This window comes from Homo sapiens, chromosome X (genome assembly GCF_000001405.40).
Source record: "Homo sapiens chromosome X, GRCh38.p14 Primary Assembly".
NCBI lineage: Eukaryota > Metazoa > Chordata > Mammalia > Primates > Hominidae > Homo > Homo sapiens.
In genome coordinates, this window is record NC_000023.11 from 48,181,270 (window position 1) to 48,200,259 (window position 18,990).

At 45.4% G+C, this 18,990-nt stretch overlaps 1 protein-coding gene and 1 pseudogene across 3 annotated transcripts; one reads left to right on the forward strand and one right to left on the reverse strand.

Moving 5' to 3' along the window:
• SSX5 (SSX family member 5) lies at positions 4,951-15,526 on the reverse strand. 3 transcript variants are annotated; one of them, NM_021015.4, is made up of 9 exons: positions 15,462-15,526; positions 14,021-14,109; positions 13,738-13,860; positions 13,471-13,585; positions 12,860-12,955; positions 10,963-11,012; positions 8,864-8,999; positions 6,358-6,462; positions 4,951-5,587 (listed from the first exon to the last, which is right to left on the reverse strand). In NM_021015.4, exons 2-8 carry the CDS (start codon positions 14,087-14,089, stop codon positions 6,362-6,364), a joined length of 690 nt encoding a protein of 229 aa, NP_066295.3. In that variant the 5' UTR covers positions 14,090-14,109; positions 15,462-15,526; the 3' UTR covers positions 4,951-5,587; positions 6,358-6,361. The 3 variants fall into 3 exon arrangements, with proteins under 3 accessions (NP_066295.3, NP_783729.1, XP_011542251.1); NM_175723.2 differs by lacking the exon at positions 13,738-13,860; XM_011543949.3 differs by lacking the exons at positions 4,951-5,587; positions 13,738-13,860 and adding an exon at positions 5,811-5,867.
• On the forward strand, positions 15,922-17,792 carry LOC100420083 (ornithine aminotransferase pseudogene; annotated as a pseudogene).

Consider the following 18,990-nt stretch of genomic DNA (forward strand, 5'->3'; position numbering starts at 1 on the left):
GAAAGCTGATTGTGCAAACGAACCAGCTTCTCCAGTGCCAATGAGCCTCATTTCAAAACAATACGTAACATTTTTATTTCTAATAAAACTTCCAACTTCTCTTTGTTCGTTGGACATACTGAAGACCACCCCAGTCCGTGTGTATGCCCTGAACTGCAATTTTGTGGTTCCCAAATAGAGCATTTGATTTAGGGATTTGTCTCTATAACTCATTTTGACTTTGACACAATTAACCAGTATGATGTGTTGAAAGGTCAACTCGCCCCCCAACAAGGTGAGTATTATACTGAATTTAAAAATTCATTCTAGGCAGGGCTCAAGTCTGTAATCCTAATAATTGCTTTGCTTTGCTTTGCATCTTACTATGGACTTGTTGGATATCTAGGTGGCTGTAAACTATGCAGAGAAAAATAGAAACAGCAGTGGAGATAATCAGAAAATTGTAGTGTTCCTATAAAACAATAACAAAAGGGGGAAATTGTAAGGGTAACTAAACATAAAATTGAATTTTTCCCATTGCCAAAAGGGAAAAAGGAAAAAGAGCCCTTTCCCCTTTTCATCATGCCTGGCTCATCGTTGTATTTTTGGTAGAGACAGGGTTTCCCCATGCTGGCCAGGCTGGTTTCAAGCTCCTGACCTCATGATCCGCCTGCCACAGCCTCCAAAGTGCTGGGATTACAGGCGTGAGCCACCACACCTGGCGTCTGCCTCCACTTTTGGATTTGGATTGTATGAAACACTACACTTTGGATTATATGAAACACTACACTTCAAAGTGTGGGATCTGGCTTCCCAGAGAGCTGTGAAAGGGGCAGATGATGCAATCTAGAAGTGTGGGGGTGTTCGTGCCTGTGGGGTAAATTTTGACCAATAAGAAAAGGAACCAGGAGTGAGAGTCAGGAACGTAATTCCCTCTCCTCTCCTCTCCCCATGCACCATTCCAGGAGGCATTGTTTCTCAGTATAGTCTGTCTAAAGGTGTCCTGTATGGCCCAAAGCCTGTTTCCTTGGGAACCTGAGCTAAAGCAATGGGCATTCAAACACCCGAAGACAGTGTTAAGTGTTGTGGAGGACCCAGATCTGGGCAGAGGAAAATTATCCCAATAAGAAAATGGACAATTTGAGGATTTGGAATAGAGGGAAGGACTAGAAGAACTAATAGTAGTATAGCTGAGGGGTAATATTTTTGGAGAAAAAGGCAGTTCTGGTGATTGTTGCAGTGAACTGCTCAGCTCTGTAAAATATATACTTCCTTTCTTTCCATCAGTCTCCCCTATGAAATCGTCCATAAAATATCCTTTTATAACTATCTATTGCCTGTGAAGTGAATTTTCTTTTTTCCTTTTTCTTTTTTTATTTAGAGATAGAATCTCTGTCGCCCAGGCTGGAGTGCAGTGGGGCGATCTCGACTCACTGCAATCTCCGCCTCCCGAGTTCAAGTGATCCTCCCGCCTCAGCTGCCCTAGTAGCTGGGAATACAGGTGCACACCACCAATGCCCAGCTAATTTTTTATTTGTATTTTTAGTAGAGAAGGTGGTTCACCATCTTGGTCAGACTGGTCTCAAACTCCTGACCTCACGTGATCCACCTGCCTCCGTCTCCCAAAGTGCTGGGATTATAGGTGTGAGCCACCACACCCAGCCTGTCACTTTTCTTTTGGAGAATAAAACAAATTGAGTCTTGTGCCAAAATGCAGGGGAAGATGCACCCAGACAGGTAACAAAATATTATATACGGTAATAGATAGGTTTTCTACATATCAATAATAACCATTTAGAAAATCAAATTGAGAAAAAAGACACGTCTATAGTGACAAAAGTACATAAATATCTAAAACCAGATGATTGGAGCAAGATGGCAGATAGATCCCATGCCCCACTCAACATTCCATTGAACTGGGATGAAAATGTTTTCAAGGGTCAATTCTTAACAGTAGAGGAAAATAGGAAAGCGTGTCAGTGGTCCACCAGGAATACTGAGGCATACCTGGGAGACAGAGTAGATGGGATCAGACTGATAGAGAAACCCAAGGAGACAAGACCACAGCTCAAATCACTATAGGCGAGAGATGCTGTCTGAGACAGAGACTTACTCTGTCGCCCAGGCTGGAGTGCAGTGGCATGATCTCGGCTCACTGCACCCTCCGTCTCCCAGGTTCAAGGGATTCTCCCGCCTCACTCCCTGCAGTAACTGGAATTCACAGGCCAGCCACCACTACCGGCTAATTTTTGTATTTTTAGTAGAGACGGGGGTTTCACCCTGTTGGCCAGGCTGGTCTCAAACTCTTGATCTCAAGTGATCTGCCTGCCTCGGCCTCCCGAAGTGCTGATATTACAGTGTGGGTCACCGCGACCGCCCAGGAGACGCTCTTTGTAACAAAGCCTCTGAAAATCTCCAAACCCTGAATCAAAGAAAACACGGAGCTGGAAAGGGCCTTAGGAAAATCATCATGTAAGTTAATTTAAAAGTTCATCAGAAACGTCTGAATCAGCCAGATTCCCCTCCAACACCACAGACAGATTGGCTGGCAGTAGCCACTTTTGCCTCTAAGATGAAACTCTGATAATTATTCATTAAAGAAACTGAAGGCCTGGCGAGGTGGCTCACACTTGTCATCCCAGCACTTTGGGAGGCTGAGGCAGGAAGATTGCCTGAGGCCAGGGGATCCAGAACACCCTGGGCAACATAGTGGATGCCGTCTCTACAAAAAAATACAAAAACCAGCTGAGTGTGGTGGTGTGTGCCTGTAGTCCCAGCTAGATCGGAAGCTGAAGTGGGTGAATCCCTTGAGCCTGGGAGATCGAGGCTGCAGTGAGCAGCCTCGATCACTGCATCACTGCACTCCAGCCTGGGCGACAGACTGCGATACTGTCTCAAAAAAAAAAAACACGAAAAAGAAATGTATCAGGACTTGGTGTAACTTCAGCCCTTCACAGTAATAATGAAGTAGAGAAACACATTTGTGGAGAGGGGACCATGTTCACTCTTTATCCATGATAGACAGATAGTCGGGAGCTTTATATACCCAAGGAACCTAAGGAAAAATGTTCCCTGTCATGACTCACAATCTTCCAGCCACCCTTCCTTGCACCTGTCTTGTGGGCTGGGGGACCCAACTTATGGATCCCATCATCCCAGGGAGAAAGAAAAGTCAAATCCTTCAGTATCTCTTTTAGGGTATTCTCTCCTCTTTGCATGGAGGATAAGGCACTCAATATCTAGTATCGGAATGTTACATTTGTGTAATACAGAACTATATTGGGATAAAATAGAATTTGTTTCTTCTGAGACACAGGTAGAGGCACGTCCACACTGACCTGGGTGGAAGCCATCTCTTCCTGAAGTGCCAGGCAGGGCATGCTCACAGATCTGGGGAACCTCTGTTGCTCCTGGAGCCCCACAACCTCCTTCCTGGCACCCTCTCCCTCTGGTGGCTGTGACAGCCCACACTTGGCCTTGGGTATCCCCTGCTTCTTTGCCTGCCCCTCTTCTGCCCACCCTGCATATCTCTGTCTCCCACTGTCCCTGCTGTGACCATGACCGCCTCTCCCTCCCCGCACTCTCTCTCTCCTAGGGCTCCTTGTCTTGGGAAAATGAACCCACAGCCTCTACCTTGCAACTGGGGACAGAACCCGGAGTTTGTTCAATTCTCCCTCCCTCCACCACACACACCTGTCCTCCTTAATGTTTCTGAAGTCAGTGAGCTCCAAACTCAGCTCCTCCTGCACCTGCCAGCTGTAGGACCTGTGACAAGACACCTACCATCTGTCTGGGACTCTATCTCTCATCTATCATATAGGCATAATGATCATAGTGTTCTCCTTCCAAGGCTGGGGAGAACCAGGAGGCCAAGGTGATGGGGTATGAATGGTCAAAACAGCTCCAATCCTGCCTCCACCTGGGGCTGCTGTTTCAAGTCCGTTGTGTTTCAAGCATTAATGTCTCCATTCACACACAATGGTTTGTTCTAAAACAGACTCCCCTCTGCCCTTCCCTTCCCCACAACTGTTTCACCTCTGCACCGTGCAGTGGTACCTGTGAGAAAGAACTGTCCCATTCCCAAATCATCGTCTCCACCCCAGCCCCCAGGCCCTTGGGTGGTGAGACCCTTGATGGGCAGTCTCATGCTTCTGTCCAGGGGACTTTCCCACCGTTGCTCCCCCGCATGGAGACTAAGTGAACTCTTCTATTCCCTGGCCATCACAGGGTCTACAGTGCACGCATCTTCCCCATCCCTCTGCATTCCCCAGATGATGATTTCATCTGTGTCTCCTACCACATACTCCCAAATGGACCGTCCCAGCCCTAGAACCCGAAAATCGTTCAGAGAGCAAAGGCCAAGATTCCCAACCACCTGCTGCAGAATACTGCTCCAGGACTGAAGTGTATAGTCTCTATCAAAATAAAAACTGGAGGCCAGTTGCGGTGGCTCATGCCTGTAATCCCAACATTTTAGGAGGCCAAGATGGGAGGATCGCTTTGGCCCAGGAGTTCGAGACCAGCCTGGGTAATATAGGGAGACTTTCTTGACAAAACCTGAAAAAATTAGTGGGTCATGATGGTGTGTGCCTGTAGTCACAGCTTCGCTGGAGGCTGAGGTGGGAGAATCGCTTGAGCCCAGGAGATCAAGGCTGCATTGAGCTATGATCATGCCACTGCACTCCAGCTTGGACAGAGTAAGACCCTGTCTCTAGAAAAAAGCAAAAAAAACCCAACAACTGGAAACATCCTCCTCTAGAATGGTGGTCAGGAACATCTGTCTGCCCTGTTCCCTGATGTCTCTTCAGCACCTATAACAGCGCTCAGCACGAGGACGCACTCATTAGGGTTTTGTTGAATAAATGACTCCTTTGACACAGCAATTCCACTTCTAAGAATCTTTCCTAAAGAAATATTCACACAAGTGCACAGAGCTGTGTGCACAATAATGAGAGGAGCAAACAACTGGGGAACGTTTGCAAAGGTTTATTAACTGGCAGTGACTGATAGAGGGGAATCGGATGAGGGGAGTACATGCTGAACAGGAAACAGAGTGAGGGGGGCTTGACCAGGACACATGGGGAAAAGCAGTTGGGAGATGCCTATACTGGTACTTGGTGTGTGTGTGTGTGTGTGTGTGTGTGTGTGTGTGTGTGCGCGCGCGCGCGCATGTGTGTCTGTGTGGCATGTGTGTGTGTTTGTGTAAATGCAGAGGAAAAAATCTGAAATTAAACACTCAGAACTGCCCTCAGTGGTCACATCTGGGAAGAGAGGAGGGTAGTGTTGTTCTATGCAGAGAATACCTGACGATACTTGTTTTCTGAGGTAGGTGCATGGATACACAAACTGAAATATGCATTAAGTATGTCTTGCTCATCAGTGAAAACGCTAATATCTAACAGAATGGCACACTGTAACAAAATACAACAGAAACACTAACATCGAACTCTTGGCACACTAAGAAAAATGACGCTCAACTTTTCACTGTTGTGAACACTTGCTTTCACTTGCTATACACCTGATGACGAGGGATCCGCAGCCATGCCCATGTTCGTGAAAGGTCACCACGTTCTGCTTCTCATCATGGGCATGTGTCATATCCCCGAGGCTGAGGCAAGAAGCGAGAAGGAAAGTAAGTGGCAGTGAGTTCCCACCACATGACAACTCAATCTCAACTCCTCCTGACCTGCAGACCCTGCCCACTCCGATTCTGCCCTACCTCAGGACCTGTACACGCCTTCCATGGTTCCTTGAAGTGAACCATCTGCTCATACCACAGTGACTTCCTCGCCTGGGTTATCAATTCCTAGGCTAGAGGAAGGTGTGGCCCGCATATCAGTGCTGACCTGGGGTTTGGGAACCCACAGCATCCTGGGTAGGGAGGATCCCTGGATATAGAGGGCAGGGAGTAGAAAGAGCATGGTTAGGCAGGCGCAGAGGCTCACGCCTGTAGTCACAACACTTTGGGAGGCGGAGGCAGATGGATCACGAGGTCAGGAGATTGAGACCATTCTGGCTGACATGGCGAAACCCTGTCTCTACTAAAAATACAAGAAAAAAAATTACCCGGTCGTGGTGGCGGGTGCTTGTAGCCCCAGCTACTGGGGAGGCTGAGGCAGGAGAATGGCGTGAACACGGGAGGCGGAGCTTGCAGTGAGCCGAGATCATGCCACTGCACTCCAGCCTGGGGGAACAAAAGGAGACTCCCCCACCCACAAAAAAAAACATGGGAAATTTCATCATTCAGCCTCAATGCTGTACCCTAGAAAATTATGAGAAGGGAATGATTTGGGGAACAACTGATAAGATGGGATACCAGTACCATAACAGAATAGCACATCTGCAAGGATGTGGGAGATGAGCCAAAGGTTCACTTACGGAGTTACTCGTCATCTTCCTGAGGGTCGCTGATCTCTTCATAAATCACCAGTTGCTTTCTCTCACGCACTCTGTGGGTCCAGGCATGTTTCCCCCTTTTGGGTCCTATGATGGAGAAGAGTTGGAAGATGAGGGTTGGGTAGATTGGAGAGGGTTGGGTTGATTGGAGAGTGTTAGGCTCTGTTTTCTCCAAAAAAGGAGATGCCTCCCCACCACCAAGTGCCCATGGGTCTTCTTTATCCAGTTTTTCACATTCTCTGGCTTAGAGAGGCTGAGACCTTAGACCCACACCAATACAGGCCAAATGCAAATTAAAGTTTTAGCTTCTGGCTCCTTCCGTTGTCAGGTTTAGATTCCCAACCTCTTCACTTACGGGAACATTCACCCTTACCTCCTTTCATTCAGCACGTATTTATTAAGGCCACACAGGCGTACCTTGTTTTATTGCACCTCATTTTCATACTGCTTCACAGATGTTGCAATTTTTTTTTTGGAAATTCTCACCAATTTTACACTTTTCCATTATTATTATATCTGTTATGGTGATTTGTGATCAGTGAGCTTTGATATTATTACTGCAATTGTTTTTATTGTTTTTTAGTCTTTTAAAATAATTTCTGTTTTTTATTTTTGTGGGTACACAGTAGGTGTATATACTTATGGGATACATGAGACGTTTTGATACAGGCATGCAAATGCGTAAAAATCACATCATGGAAAATAAGGGATCTATCCCCTCAAACATTTATCCTTGGTTACAATCAATCCATTTACACTCTTTTAGTTTTCATACTGCACAATTAAGTTATTATTGACTATAATCACCCTGTTGTATGTAATTATTCTGGGGGTAACAGGAACTGCACTCATAGAAGTTGACAAACTTAATCGACAAATATTGTGTGTGTTCTGACTGCTCCACCGATGAGCTCTTCCCTGCCTCTCTTCCTTTTCTTGGGCATCTGTATTTCCTGAGACATATCAACACCGAAATTAGGAAGATTAACAACCCTACAATGGCCGCTAAGTGTTGAAATGAAAGGAAGAGTCGCATGTCTCTCACTTTAAATCAGAAGCTAGAAATGGCTAAGCTTAGTGAGGAAGCATGCTGAAAGCCAAGACAGGCTGAAAGCTAAGCCTCTTGCACCAAACAGCCAAGCTGTGAATGCAAAGGAAAAGTTCTTGAAGGAAGTAATAGTATATAATGCAAAGGAAAAGTTCTTGAAGAAAATAATAATACTAATACTCCAGTGAACACAAGAATAAGAAAGCAAAACTGCCTTACTGCTTAAATGAGAAAGTGGTCAGGATAGAAGACGAAACCAGCCACAACATTCCCTTAAGCCAAAGTCTAATTCAGGGCAAGACCCAAACTCTCTTCAAGTCCATGAATTCTGAGAGAGGTGAAGAAGCTGCAGGAGAAACGTGTGAAGCTAGCAGAGGTTGGTTCATGAGGTTTAAGGAAAGAAGCCGTCTCCATAACATAAAAGTGCAAGGTGAAGCAGCAAACCCTGATGGAGAAGCTGCAGCAAGTTATCCGGAAGATCTAGCTAAGATCACTGATGAAGGTGGCTACACTAAACAACAGATTTTCAATGTAGATAAAATAGCCTTCTATTGGAAGGAGATGCCATCTAGGACTTTCATAGCTAGAGAGCATTGACTTCAACTTTGAAAGAAGTTCTACTGTGGGTAAAATGCTATCCAAAAGCATCACATACTACAGAGAAAGCATTCATGAACGGAAGAGCTAATCGATGTGGCAAATTTCATTGTTGTCTTCTTTTATGAAACTGCCACAGCCACTCCACCCTTCAGCAACCACCACCTTGATCAGCCAGCAGCCATCAACACCCAGGCAGGATCCTCCACCAGCAAAAAGAGTGTGACTCACTGAAGTCGCAGAAGATTATTAGCATTTTATACAATGAATTATTTTAAAATTAAGATATATACATTTTGAGACACAATGCTAGTGCAAACTTAGTAGACTTCAGTATATTGTAAACATAATGTTTTTATGCACTGCCAAACCAAGAAAAAAATGTGTGTGACTCACTTTATCGCAGTGGTCTGGAACTGAACATGCAATATCTCTGAAGTACACCTATATCGGGTAACAGGCATTGAGCTGAGTAAGATATGATCCCAGGTAATCACAGATGGAATTGCTTCAGCACCTTTCATGTCATCAGGCCTTCTAGACTTAATTTAATGCCTCCAAACAATTTATGAACTGAGATTCTTTATTTCCAACTTATAAACTAGGAAACTGGAGCTAAGAAAATTTGGAAGACTTGCCCCAAGTCACGTGGTTTTTTTATATGAATGACAACTCCAGTCTGTGTCTCTGGAAGTCATGTGTAACATCTCATCTGGAGCTGGGCGAGCTCCTCAGCCCAGCCTGGACCCAGGCTTGTCTGGGGTCCATGCCACACACCCAGTCCACACACCTGAACTTAGCGAGAAAAGCCAGAGTGGTTGTTCCCAAATTCTTTTCTCTTACCAGATGTCTTGTTAACCTTCTCAGAGGTATTTAGTTTTCCTGAGGGGCGCAGCTGTTTCCCATTGTTCTGTGGGCCAGATGCTTCTGGCACTCCCTTCGAATCATTTCCTTCCTCTGCTGGCTTCTCGGGCGTGATCTTTATAATGTGAAGGTCACAGATAAACAGTATCAGTGACATTTCTTTAGTGCTTTAGAGCTTACAAAGAATCTTCACATGCATTACCTTAATCAATGTTCTCAACAATGCTAGGAGAGTTACACTTGCCTAAATTAGGAGAAACCTGGGAGGGGAGGTTAGATGGGAAAGGAATGGCCTAACTGAATATGGTTTCCAGGGATAGAATTCTTCTTATCTTCACACTGTTTTAAGACTGACATTCTTGCAAACAGCAAATATCTCCATGTAATTGAGAGTTTGGTATACAGAAGATTTGGAGCATAGCATTCTAAGAATTCACAAGGTCTACAAAGGGAAGAGTTTCCGTAAAATACAAGGGATCCCATATAAGCTCGTAGACAGCTGCTGGGAGAGTAAATGTAAAGACATACAGAGGGGACAAAACACTGCTGAACAAGATGGTGTGGGGAGATGTATACAGGGAAGGGAGAGGGAAAGAAATGGTTTGCTGAAATTAATCCAGGCAGCAAAGAAAGCAGTACCAGATCTGGCATACCAGCCTACCGAGGCACCAACATTGAATGTGGAATTCAGTGAGGTGGTACCCATAACAATTCTGGTTGCATTGGGATGTATCACTGACCAACACTCTTAAGCTACTTTTTTTTTTTTTTGGATGGAGTCTCGTTCTTTTGCCAGGCTGGAGTGCAGTGGCAGGATCTCGGCTCACTGCAACATCCAACTCCCATGTTTAAGCGATTCTCCTTCCTTAGCCTCCAGAGTATCTGGGACTACAGGCAGGCACTACCACGCCCCGCTAAGTTTTGTATTTTTAGTAGAGACGAGGTTTCACCATGGTGGGCAGGATGATCTCGATCGCTTGACCTCATGATCTGCCCGCCTCAGCCTCCCAAAGTGCTGGGATTACAGTCGTGAGCCACCACGCCCAGTCCTTAGGCTACTTTTTATTCAGCTTCCTCACTTATGAAATAGTGAACAATACATGTAAAATAGGCTAAGGGAAGGCCTCTCTGAGCTTGTAAACACTGTTTAAATGTAGTAATAATAACAATTAATACCTTTCATGATCCTTCTTTGAATTCGGTCTCCACACTGGCAACCCAACTCCCAGATCCCTTTACCCTCTAAACCAGAGTTGAATCTGCACTTGTAGGGTCACTAATTCAGGGGCCTCCGAGGGATCCCCTGGGCTGGGACTGGGACTTCCCGGATGCCCCAGGTGCAGACAAGGCCCTCAAGGAGCTCACAGTAGGGAGGGGCCAACAGTCAAAGCGATTCCTAAGCCATGCAAGTGGCCCCAGTAACAGATCAGAGACCAGATGGTCCTTCCTGTTGTGAGAGTGGGTCTCTCAATGGAAGCACCAGGAGGCCCTACGGGGGTGAAGCCCTAGTGAGCAACATCTGAACTTCATAACAAATGCAAATGTGAATGAGCTTTAAATGGCTTGGAGCTCTGGATTAGACTACCACTGCCACTGCGCCTCAGGAAAATTCTTTAACATCTCTATACCCGGATAGCCTCATTTTATTATTATGCTGCTGATAACTATGATCTAAAACATGAACTATGATTCTTTACTTCCATTTCATGAACCAGGAATCCGGAGCTCAGAGGACTTAGAAGATTTGTGCCAAGTCGCCTGCCTTTTATATGGGTGACAACTGAAGTGTGTGACTCATTATTATTTGGAGATAATAGAAACAATGTCTTCTTAAGGATTAAATAAATTCATCCATGTGAACTGCTTAAAATAGTATTTGGCATCACTATGAAAACAAAAGAAGTATTAAGGATCACAACTGTTAGTATTAGCAAGCCGTCGGTGCTACATCAGGTGTTGTGATAGACATAGGGAGAAGAAGGCAGTGAGGGCATTGTTGATATTCTCCCACTCTTACAGGGTTCACATTCGTGAAGGGACAAAGGTTCTCTGGTCCTTTAGATTTGAGAGACACTCACCTTCGGGAAGATTCCCTGGAGCCTGCCGAAAGTCATCTGAGGATGTTCAACTGAAAGAGAATACATCAGAATTTTTCTTTGTTGGTAAAGATTTCCAAACTCTAGAGAGACTTCAGTTGCATGAGGGCATTCTGCAGCAGAGGTTATGAGTCCACTGATTGTTGAGGAGTTATTTGAGATTTGCTTCTGAATTATGTTTAGTCATGGTTGGTGCATTTATCTGTGGCATCAATTCAGAATTTTCCATCTCATGGTTTATCACATGGGGACTAAACCCCATCACAGTCTCATCTTTTTCCATTACATATCTTTTACTTATTCTCAAATAATTAAATTGATTGGTTGGGAATCTGAACTGTATCCACTCAAGATGTACAACAACTGAAAATCATTTTACACTTCAAATGGGTGAATCTTATGGTATGTGAATTAAGCTGTTAAATGTGTGATGAACCATGGATGATTTAGTCCAGTGGCTCTGAAATATTTTCAGTACAAAGACAGTCCTTTAACGTCAAAAACTTGGCAGATACTCAAGCACTGGCTTTTCAGATCTCTTATAGTGATTGTGGGAGATTGTAGAGTCTGGCCTGTTTAGTTGGCGAGTAATAGGTCTATTGGAGACAGTTTGGACTTTCTGACCTTGTCTTATAATTGTGTTGTCAGAGCAGAAGAGCAAGTAAACACATATGTCCCCTTTATATCCCTGAAATGTACAAAGATCTCTACCGAAGAACCTGTCTTTTTTTCACCCCATGTTATCTCTCCTCACTGACAAGTGGGAAAGCTCTCTGTGTGTTGGATGAGGGATCACTCTTTCAAACTCACTCCCGAGCTCATCACAGAGAATCAGGGTTCTTTGGGAATTAGAGGACTATTTGGTTTTGATAAAATACAGGGAAACAGCAGTGCTTATTACATAATGTGTTCATCACCTTCACTCCTAAGATAGTTATTCAAACCCACATGCTGTTAATGAAACAAACTCTGGAAGTTTTTGGCGGATCTACAGTTGTAACATTTTCTTTTTTTTTTTTCACTTGTAACATTTTCTTAACTGTCCTTTGATTCATTAACAGTGCTTAGGAAGAACAACATGTCGTTTAAAAAAGAAATATTTCAAACACACAGAAAAGTATGGGGAATAATATTGAGTCCAGTCGGATCTCAACATTACCCCACAGCTATTTTAGATCTGATTTATTTATTCAGAATATTAGAAATACTACAAACAGGCTGGGCGTGGTAACTCACAGTTGTAATCCCAGCACTTTGGGAGGCTGCGGCGGGTGGATCACCTGAGGTCAGGAAGTTTGAGACCAGCCTGGCCAACATGGTGAAACCCCATCTCTACCAAAAATTAAAAAATTAGCTGGGCGTTTGGGTGGGCGCCTGTAACCCCAGCTACTCTGGAGGCTGAGACAGGAGAATCACTTGAACCCAGGAGGTGAAAGTTGGAGTGAGCTGAGATTGCCTTACTGCACTCCACCCTGGCCGAGAAGAGTGAAACTCCATCTCAAAAACAAAAACACACAAAACACACTATCAACAAGTCACAGCTGAAGCTGTCTGTGCCGCACTCAGCAATCCCTGCCCGCCCTCCCTCCCTCCTCCACTTACAGCCAGTCACCTTAATTTGATGGCTTTTTATTCACATTCATGTTTGTATACATTTACCACTTACTTATTATCTATAAAAATACATATTCTTGTTTTGCATGTTTTAAAATTTTATATGAATGGCCTCTGTAGTTAACTTTCTGCATGCAATTTTTTTTTTTTCACTCAGCCCTGATGTGTATGAGGGAACAAATGCCTGAGGATCTTTCCCAGGTAGCTGAGCTGAAAAGCAGTTGCGCTTGAGGAGACCCTTTCCAGCCCCTTCCCATCTACTCACCCTGATTCCCACGGTTAGGGTCATTATCAAAATCATTCCCCTGGAAGTCTGCGACCCGTTTATTACGCATGAAAGGTGGGAGGGTGGCCTTGAAACCTAGAAAGAAGCAAAATGTTTATTCCTTAAGAGACAAGCTTAGGCCTGGTATGGTGGCTCATGTCTGTAGTAGCAGCTCTTTGGGAGGCTGAAGCTGGAGGATTGCTTGAGGCCAGGAGTTTGAGGCTGCAGTGAGCTATGATTGCACTACTGCACTCTAGCCTAGGTGACAGACTGAGACTCTAAGTCAAAAAAAAAAAAGAAAGAGACAAGCCGAGAGAAGGAAGGTAGGGACGATGGGGGGGTGCCAGATGCCACAGAGACAGTTGGGCTCATCAGAACAGACTCCTAAGGGAGAGAAACGTGCAGGATCCAGGTATGAGCTCCACTGTGGCCAGTCCCTGCCCTCAGCCCTGACAAGATACAGAAGAGCAGAGCACCCAGAAGCTGCCTTGCCATTTTTCCCTGCACAAAAGGAAAACGTGGGGTACTTTCTGCAGCCTAAGAAATAGCCAAAGCTGGAAAAGGGATGCTCATGTATCCCCAGACTGTCTGTACCTAGAACTTTCTGTTACCTAGTTTAGTCATGGCCTCATACTTTCTCTTCATATACACATAGATGATTTTCTCCGAGGCTTTCATCTTTTCCCACTCTTTCTCAGAGAAGTATTTGGCAATATCATCGAAGGCCTAGAAAAAAAAAAAGGATTTCTGATAGTGACTCAGCTAGGCATGTCTGCCATTCAGCTGGAGCCGCTTCCTGTGTGCTGGATCTGGGAAGTAGGGATGATAATCCGTCCTGGTTGATGCCATGGCTAACTGACAGAACATGGGGCACCTACCCTAGCTTCTCCCCTGCCACACAGTAGAGCTTTAATGCTGCTGGCTGGCTCTCTTCCCACCTTCCAGAACGGACTGAGATTCACCAAATGTATTCCACGGTCACAGACTTGTCTCCAGGGATGCTAGGTGATGACAGAGCGAGAGTGAGAGGCTCCCAAGGTTCCAGATGTCCCCGGAGACCCTGGTCCTTGTCCCCAGTACCTCTGTCCTCCCCTCCTCAGAAAACTGATCACCCCACACTGTCCCCTGGGCCACTACTATGCCCCCTGCAGGTCACCTCACCTTTTGCATCTTCTCTGGTATTTGAGAACCAACCCTAGGTCTCCGTACAAAGGCATCGTCTCCGTTCATGGCACCGGGAGCACTCTGTCCTACAAGAGAAACAGTCTGAGTCTTTCCAGCTGCAGGACCTTTGGTCCCATGGAGGGAGAAATCAGTGAAGTCTGGCCACACTCAGTCACCTGGAATCAGGAGTTGCATTTCTCCATCCGTGGCTTATCTGTCCCTGAGTAAGGCCATGGGGAGAAGTCAGATGAAAACAGGGAGCCAGGGGTCTCTGGGAGAAGTATTGATTGGGGATGACATGTTTCCTATGGGCAAAGCAGCCTTGAGTCTTTGGAGGGGGTTGGCTAATGTTGTTAGTAGTTTCCCTGAGGCCAGGCTTACCCTGAAAGATGTACAGACCCTTGTTGGGAAGGCAGAGATGTGACTGTGTAATTTTATTCAGTGGGGGCGTTCTGACACCCTCACTCAATGAATAAAGGAAGGGAAGTGAGTCCCAGAGATAACATGGTCTCTCTGGTGATGGATCTGATCAGGCAGAGGGATGGGGGTTCTGTTCTGTTGAAGAGAAATGAGCATCGCTACTATGAACGGATTTAGAAGCTATTACTGGGTGATTTGTAAATTATTAGAAGGAAGAGAGCTAGAATTTCTGAGACTACAAGAGCCCGGGAACACTTAGAGAGAATGTGGGGTGTTTCAACATGCACAATCAGCCAGGCTCGGTGGCTCACTCCTGTAATCCCAGCACATTGGGAGGCCAAGGCGTGCAGATCGCTTGAGCCCAGGAGGTCAAGACCAGGCTGGGAAAAATAGCAAAACTCTCGTGTCTACAAAAAATACAAAAAGTTAGCTGGGGGTGGTGTAGCAGGCCTGTACCATCCCAGCACTTTGGGAGGCCAAGGTGGGCGGATCACTTGAGCCCAGGAGCTTGAGACCAGCCTGGTCAACATAGCGAAACAATTTCTACTAAAACAAAACAAAATAAAAACACCTTAGCCCTTAGCAGAAGTGGGATGGTGTGCACCTGTAGTCCCAAGGCCTAGGCAACAGGATCACTTGAGCCCAGGAGGAAAGATTTGAGTGAGTTTTTTTTTTTTTTTTTGGTCAGACAAGGTCTTGCTCTGTTGCCCAGGCTGGGGTGCACTGGCGTGATCATGGTCACTGCAACCTCCGCCTCATAGGTTCAAGTGATCCACCAGCTGTGGCCTCCAAAACTGCTGGGATTACAAGTGTGAGCCACCGCGCCCCGCCCAAATTTCTTAAGTTACTGCAGAGTTCCCAGGAAAAATCCCATACTTGAAAAAGTTAGAAACTGACAGGAAAGATTTGAGATGGCGACCTGCCTCATATACACTCCTTATTAAAACTAGATAACAAATGCACCACGGAGGAGGGGAGGGGTAGGAAGAATGGAAAAAGAAAATCAGCAAATGCTTACTCTGATTTTGGAAGAATCGAAACAATCAGAGCGTGCGTACTCTGTGGAAAAATCGAGAGAGAGAGAAAGTCAGAGCATGCGTACTCTGAACTTAAAGTAGCCAATCCCAGGGTATGCTTTAGGCGGGAAAATTAGAGTCTCCACCCCCACTTTGAGAAGGTGCTGTCCCTGGAGGTTGGACTGACAGACGCCACATCAGCTTCGCTTGTTCCGCCTACTGTTCTGACTTCTGATTGGCCAGATGGAGTTCACTAACTGCTCTGATTGGTCCATCTCCTTGGGCAGTGACATTGCACAATATTGTCTCCTCCTCCAGCCACACTTTGTTGCCACTGCAACACCCAAAAAGTGGGTGGTCCTCAGGCGCCGTCAGGAGATGTTGAACTCTCTGAAGACTGTCCCTGGATCTTGGGTTAAACATCTGTATTCTAGTCTGAACAGCGAGAAGAAAAAAATAGTTGATCTGTGATTTTTCCACTTGAAAGACACAATGTTTTCCAAACTAGCACATTTGCAGAGCTTTGCTGTACTTAGTCGTGGCTTTCATTCTTCAGTGGCTTCTATATCTGTTGCAACTGAATAAACAGTCCAAGGCCCTCCAACCTCTGATTACAGTTTTGAAAGGGAATCTAAGTGTGGTGTGCACAATTACCATCCTTTACCTGTAGCCCTGGAGAGACGAAAATGTATTTACTTATGGGATGTGATTGTGGTATTGGTTACATCCACCTTAGCCAATCCTTCCGCCTCAGTCTCGGGACTACAGGCAGGAACCACCCCACCCCCACTCATATTTTTTGTTTTTTGATTTTTTAATAGAGACGGTTTTGCTGTATTGGCCAGGCTGGTCTCATCATCCTGGGCTCAAGCGATCCTCCCGCCGCAGCCCTGGGACTACAGGCATGCACCACCCTGCCGACGCTTTTTTAAATTTTTTTTTATTTTTATTTTTTAGTGGAAACCAGGTTTTGTTATGTTGGCCAGGCCGGCGTCAAGCTGCTGGGCTGAAGGGATCCTCCCACCTCGGCCTCGGGACTACAGGCATGCACCACCCTGCCCACACTATTTTTTTTCCTTTTTTTTTTTTTAGTAGGAACCAGGTGTCGATATGTTGCCCAGGCTGGCTTCAATCTCCTGGACTCAAGTGATGCTTTCACCTCGGCCTCAGGACTACAGGCATGTGCCTTTCTGCCCGGCTCATTTTTATTTTATTTATTTATTTATTTTTATTTTTGTTTATTTATTTTTTTAGGAGAGACAGGCTTTCGCTATGTTGGCCAGGCTGGTATCGACCTCCTGGGCTCAAACAATCCTCCCACCTTGGCCTCGGAACTACAGGGGTGAGCCACTCTGCCCGTGCTATTTTTTTGTTGTTCTGTGTTGTTAGTAGAAATGGGTTTTCGCTATGTTGGCCAGGCTGGCTTCGACCACCTGGGCTCAAACAATCCTCCCGCCTCGGCCTCGGGACTACAGGATCACACCACCCAGCCCCCACTAATATTTTTAATTTTTCTAGTAGAAACAGTTCTGCTATGTTGTCCAGGTTGGTCTCTACCTCCTGGGCTCAAGCGATTCTCCTGCCTTGGCCTTGGGACTACAGGCATGCACCACCCTGCCTTTTGCTATGTTTTCCAGGCTGGTCTTGACATCCTGGGCTCGCTCAATTATTTGAACCTGGGAAGCAGAGGTTGCATTGAGCTGAGATCACACCACTGCACTCCAGCTTGGGCGACAGAGCAAGACTGTCAAATAGATAAATACATCCATACATGAAAGAAAGAAGAAAGAAAAGAAAGAAAGAAAAAGAAAGAAGGAAGGAAGGAAGGAAGGAAAGAAAGAAAGAAAGAAAGAAAGAAAGAAAGAAAGAAAGAAAGAAAGAAAGAAAGAAAGAAAGAAACCAGCTGAATCTCCGTAAAAACAGTAAGCTTTGTGGTATATTAACTTACCCTCATCCCATCTCGTGCTCCCAGCTTGGTTCTGTTCATTGCTGATGAAATACACATAGGATTGGCCAGAACTGGTAGATGGCTGGCTGTTGATCATGAAAATGTCAGACCTGATATAGTCCTCCTTGGAAAGGCCCTTTCTGGGGGCTGACACTCTGTGTCGGTGGCGCTGTGGGACGATGACATAATGCTGACCATTAAGCCAGGCGACCATGGGTCCACATACGGTGGCAATCCACTAGGCTGCTGAGTGGCCATCGCAGCCCTTGAGGTTTTAGAAGAAAATCTTGCTGAAAATACAGAACAAAATGGGTATTCTCTTGAGAAATGAACCCATGAAGCTACCTTCTGATGCTGTAACTGCTGTAAGAGGAAGAGAATTATTGTGTGTATGTGTGTATGTATGTATGTATTTAGAGTCAGAGGTTCACTCTGGTTGCCCAGGATGCAATGGTGCGATCTTGGCTCACTGCAACCTCTGCCTGCTGGGTTCTAGCGATTCTCCTGCCTCAGCCTCCTGAGTAGCTGGGATTACAGGCACGTGCCACTATGCCCAGCTAATTTTCATATTTTTAGTAGAGACTGGGTTTCACCATGTTGGCTACGCTGGTCTTGAACTCCTGACCTCAGGTGATGCACCCACCTCGGCCTCCCAAAATGTTGGGATTACAGACGTGAGCCACTGTGCCCGGGAGGAAAATAATTATTAAATGCTATTGTTATTAAAGAAACCAAAGATTGTGATGTTTGGAAGGTGTGTCTACGACTTCGAGATTATTGAACATGGCCGGGTACAGCAGTTCACACTTGTAATCCCAGCACTTTGGGAGGGCGAGGTGGACAGATCACTTGAGGTCAGGAGTCCATTGTTGCTATTGCTGTTGCTGAGACAGAGTCTCACTCTGTCGCCCAGGCTAGAGTGCAGTGTCTCGGCTTACAGCAACCTCCGTCTCCCGGGTTCAAGCGATTTTCCAGCCTCAGCCTCCCGAGTAGCTGTGACTACACGTGCGCACCGCTACGCCCAGGTAATTTTTGTATTAGTAGTAGAGATGGGGTTTCAACATATTGGCAAGGCTGGTCTTGAACTCCTGACGTCATGATCCGCCCACCTCAACCTCCCAAAGTGCTGGGATAACAGGATGAGCCACTGTGCCTGGCCAATAGTTCATTTTTATTACTGAGTAGTATTCCATGGTATGGATGTACCACAGTTTGACCATTCACTTATTGTAGGATATATTGATTATTTCCAGCTATTGACTATTACAAGTAAAGCTGCTATGAACAATTATGTACAAGTTTCTGGATGGGCATACATTTTAATTTCTCTGAAGTGTAATTGTTGAATTGTATGGTCATTGCATGTTTAGTTTTATAAGAAACTACCAAACTGCTTTCCAGAGTGGCTGTAAGATTTTACCTTCCCAGCAGCACTTAATGAGGTGTCCATTTTCTCTGCATCCTTGTCACCATTTGGTGTTGTCACTATGTCTTTTATTTTAGCTATTGTAATAAGTGTGTAGTGATACCTCATCGTGGTGTTATTCTGCATCTAGTGAAGCAAATGAGGGCTGAACATCTTT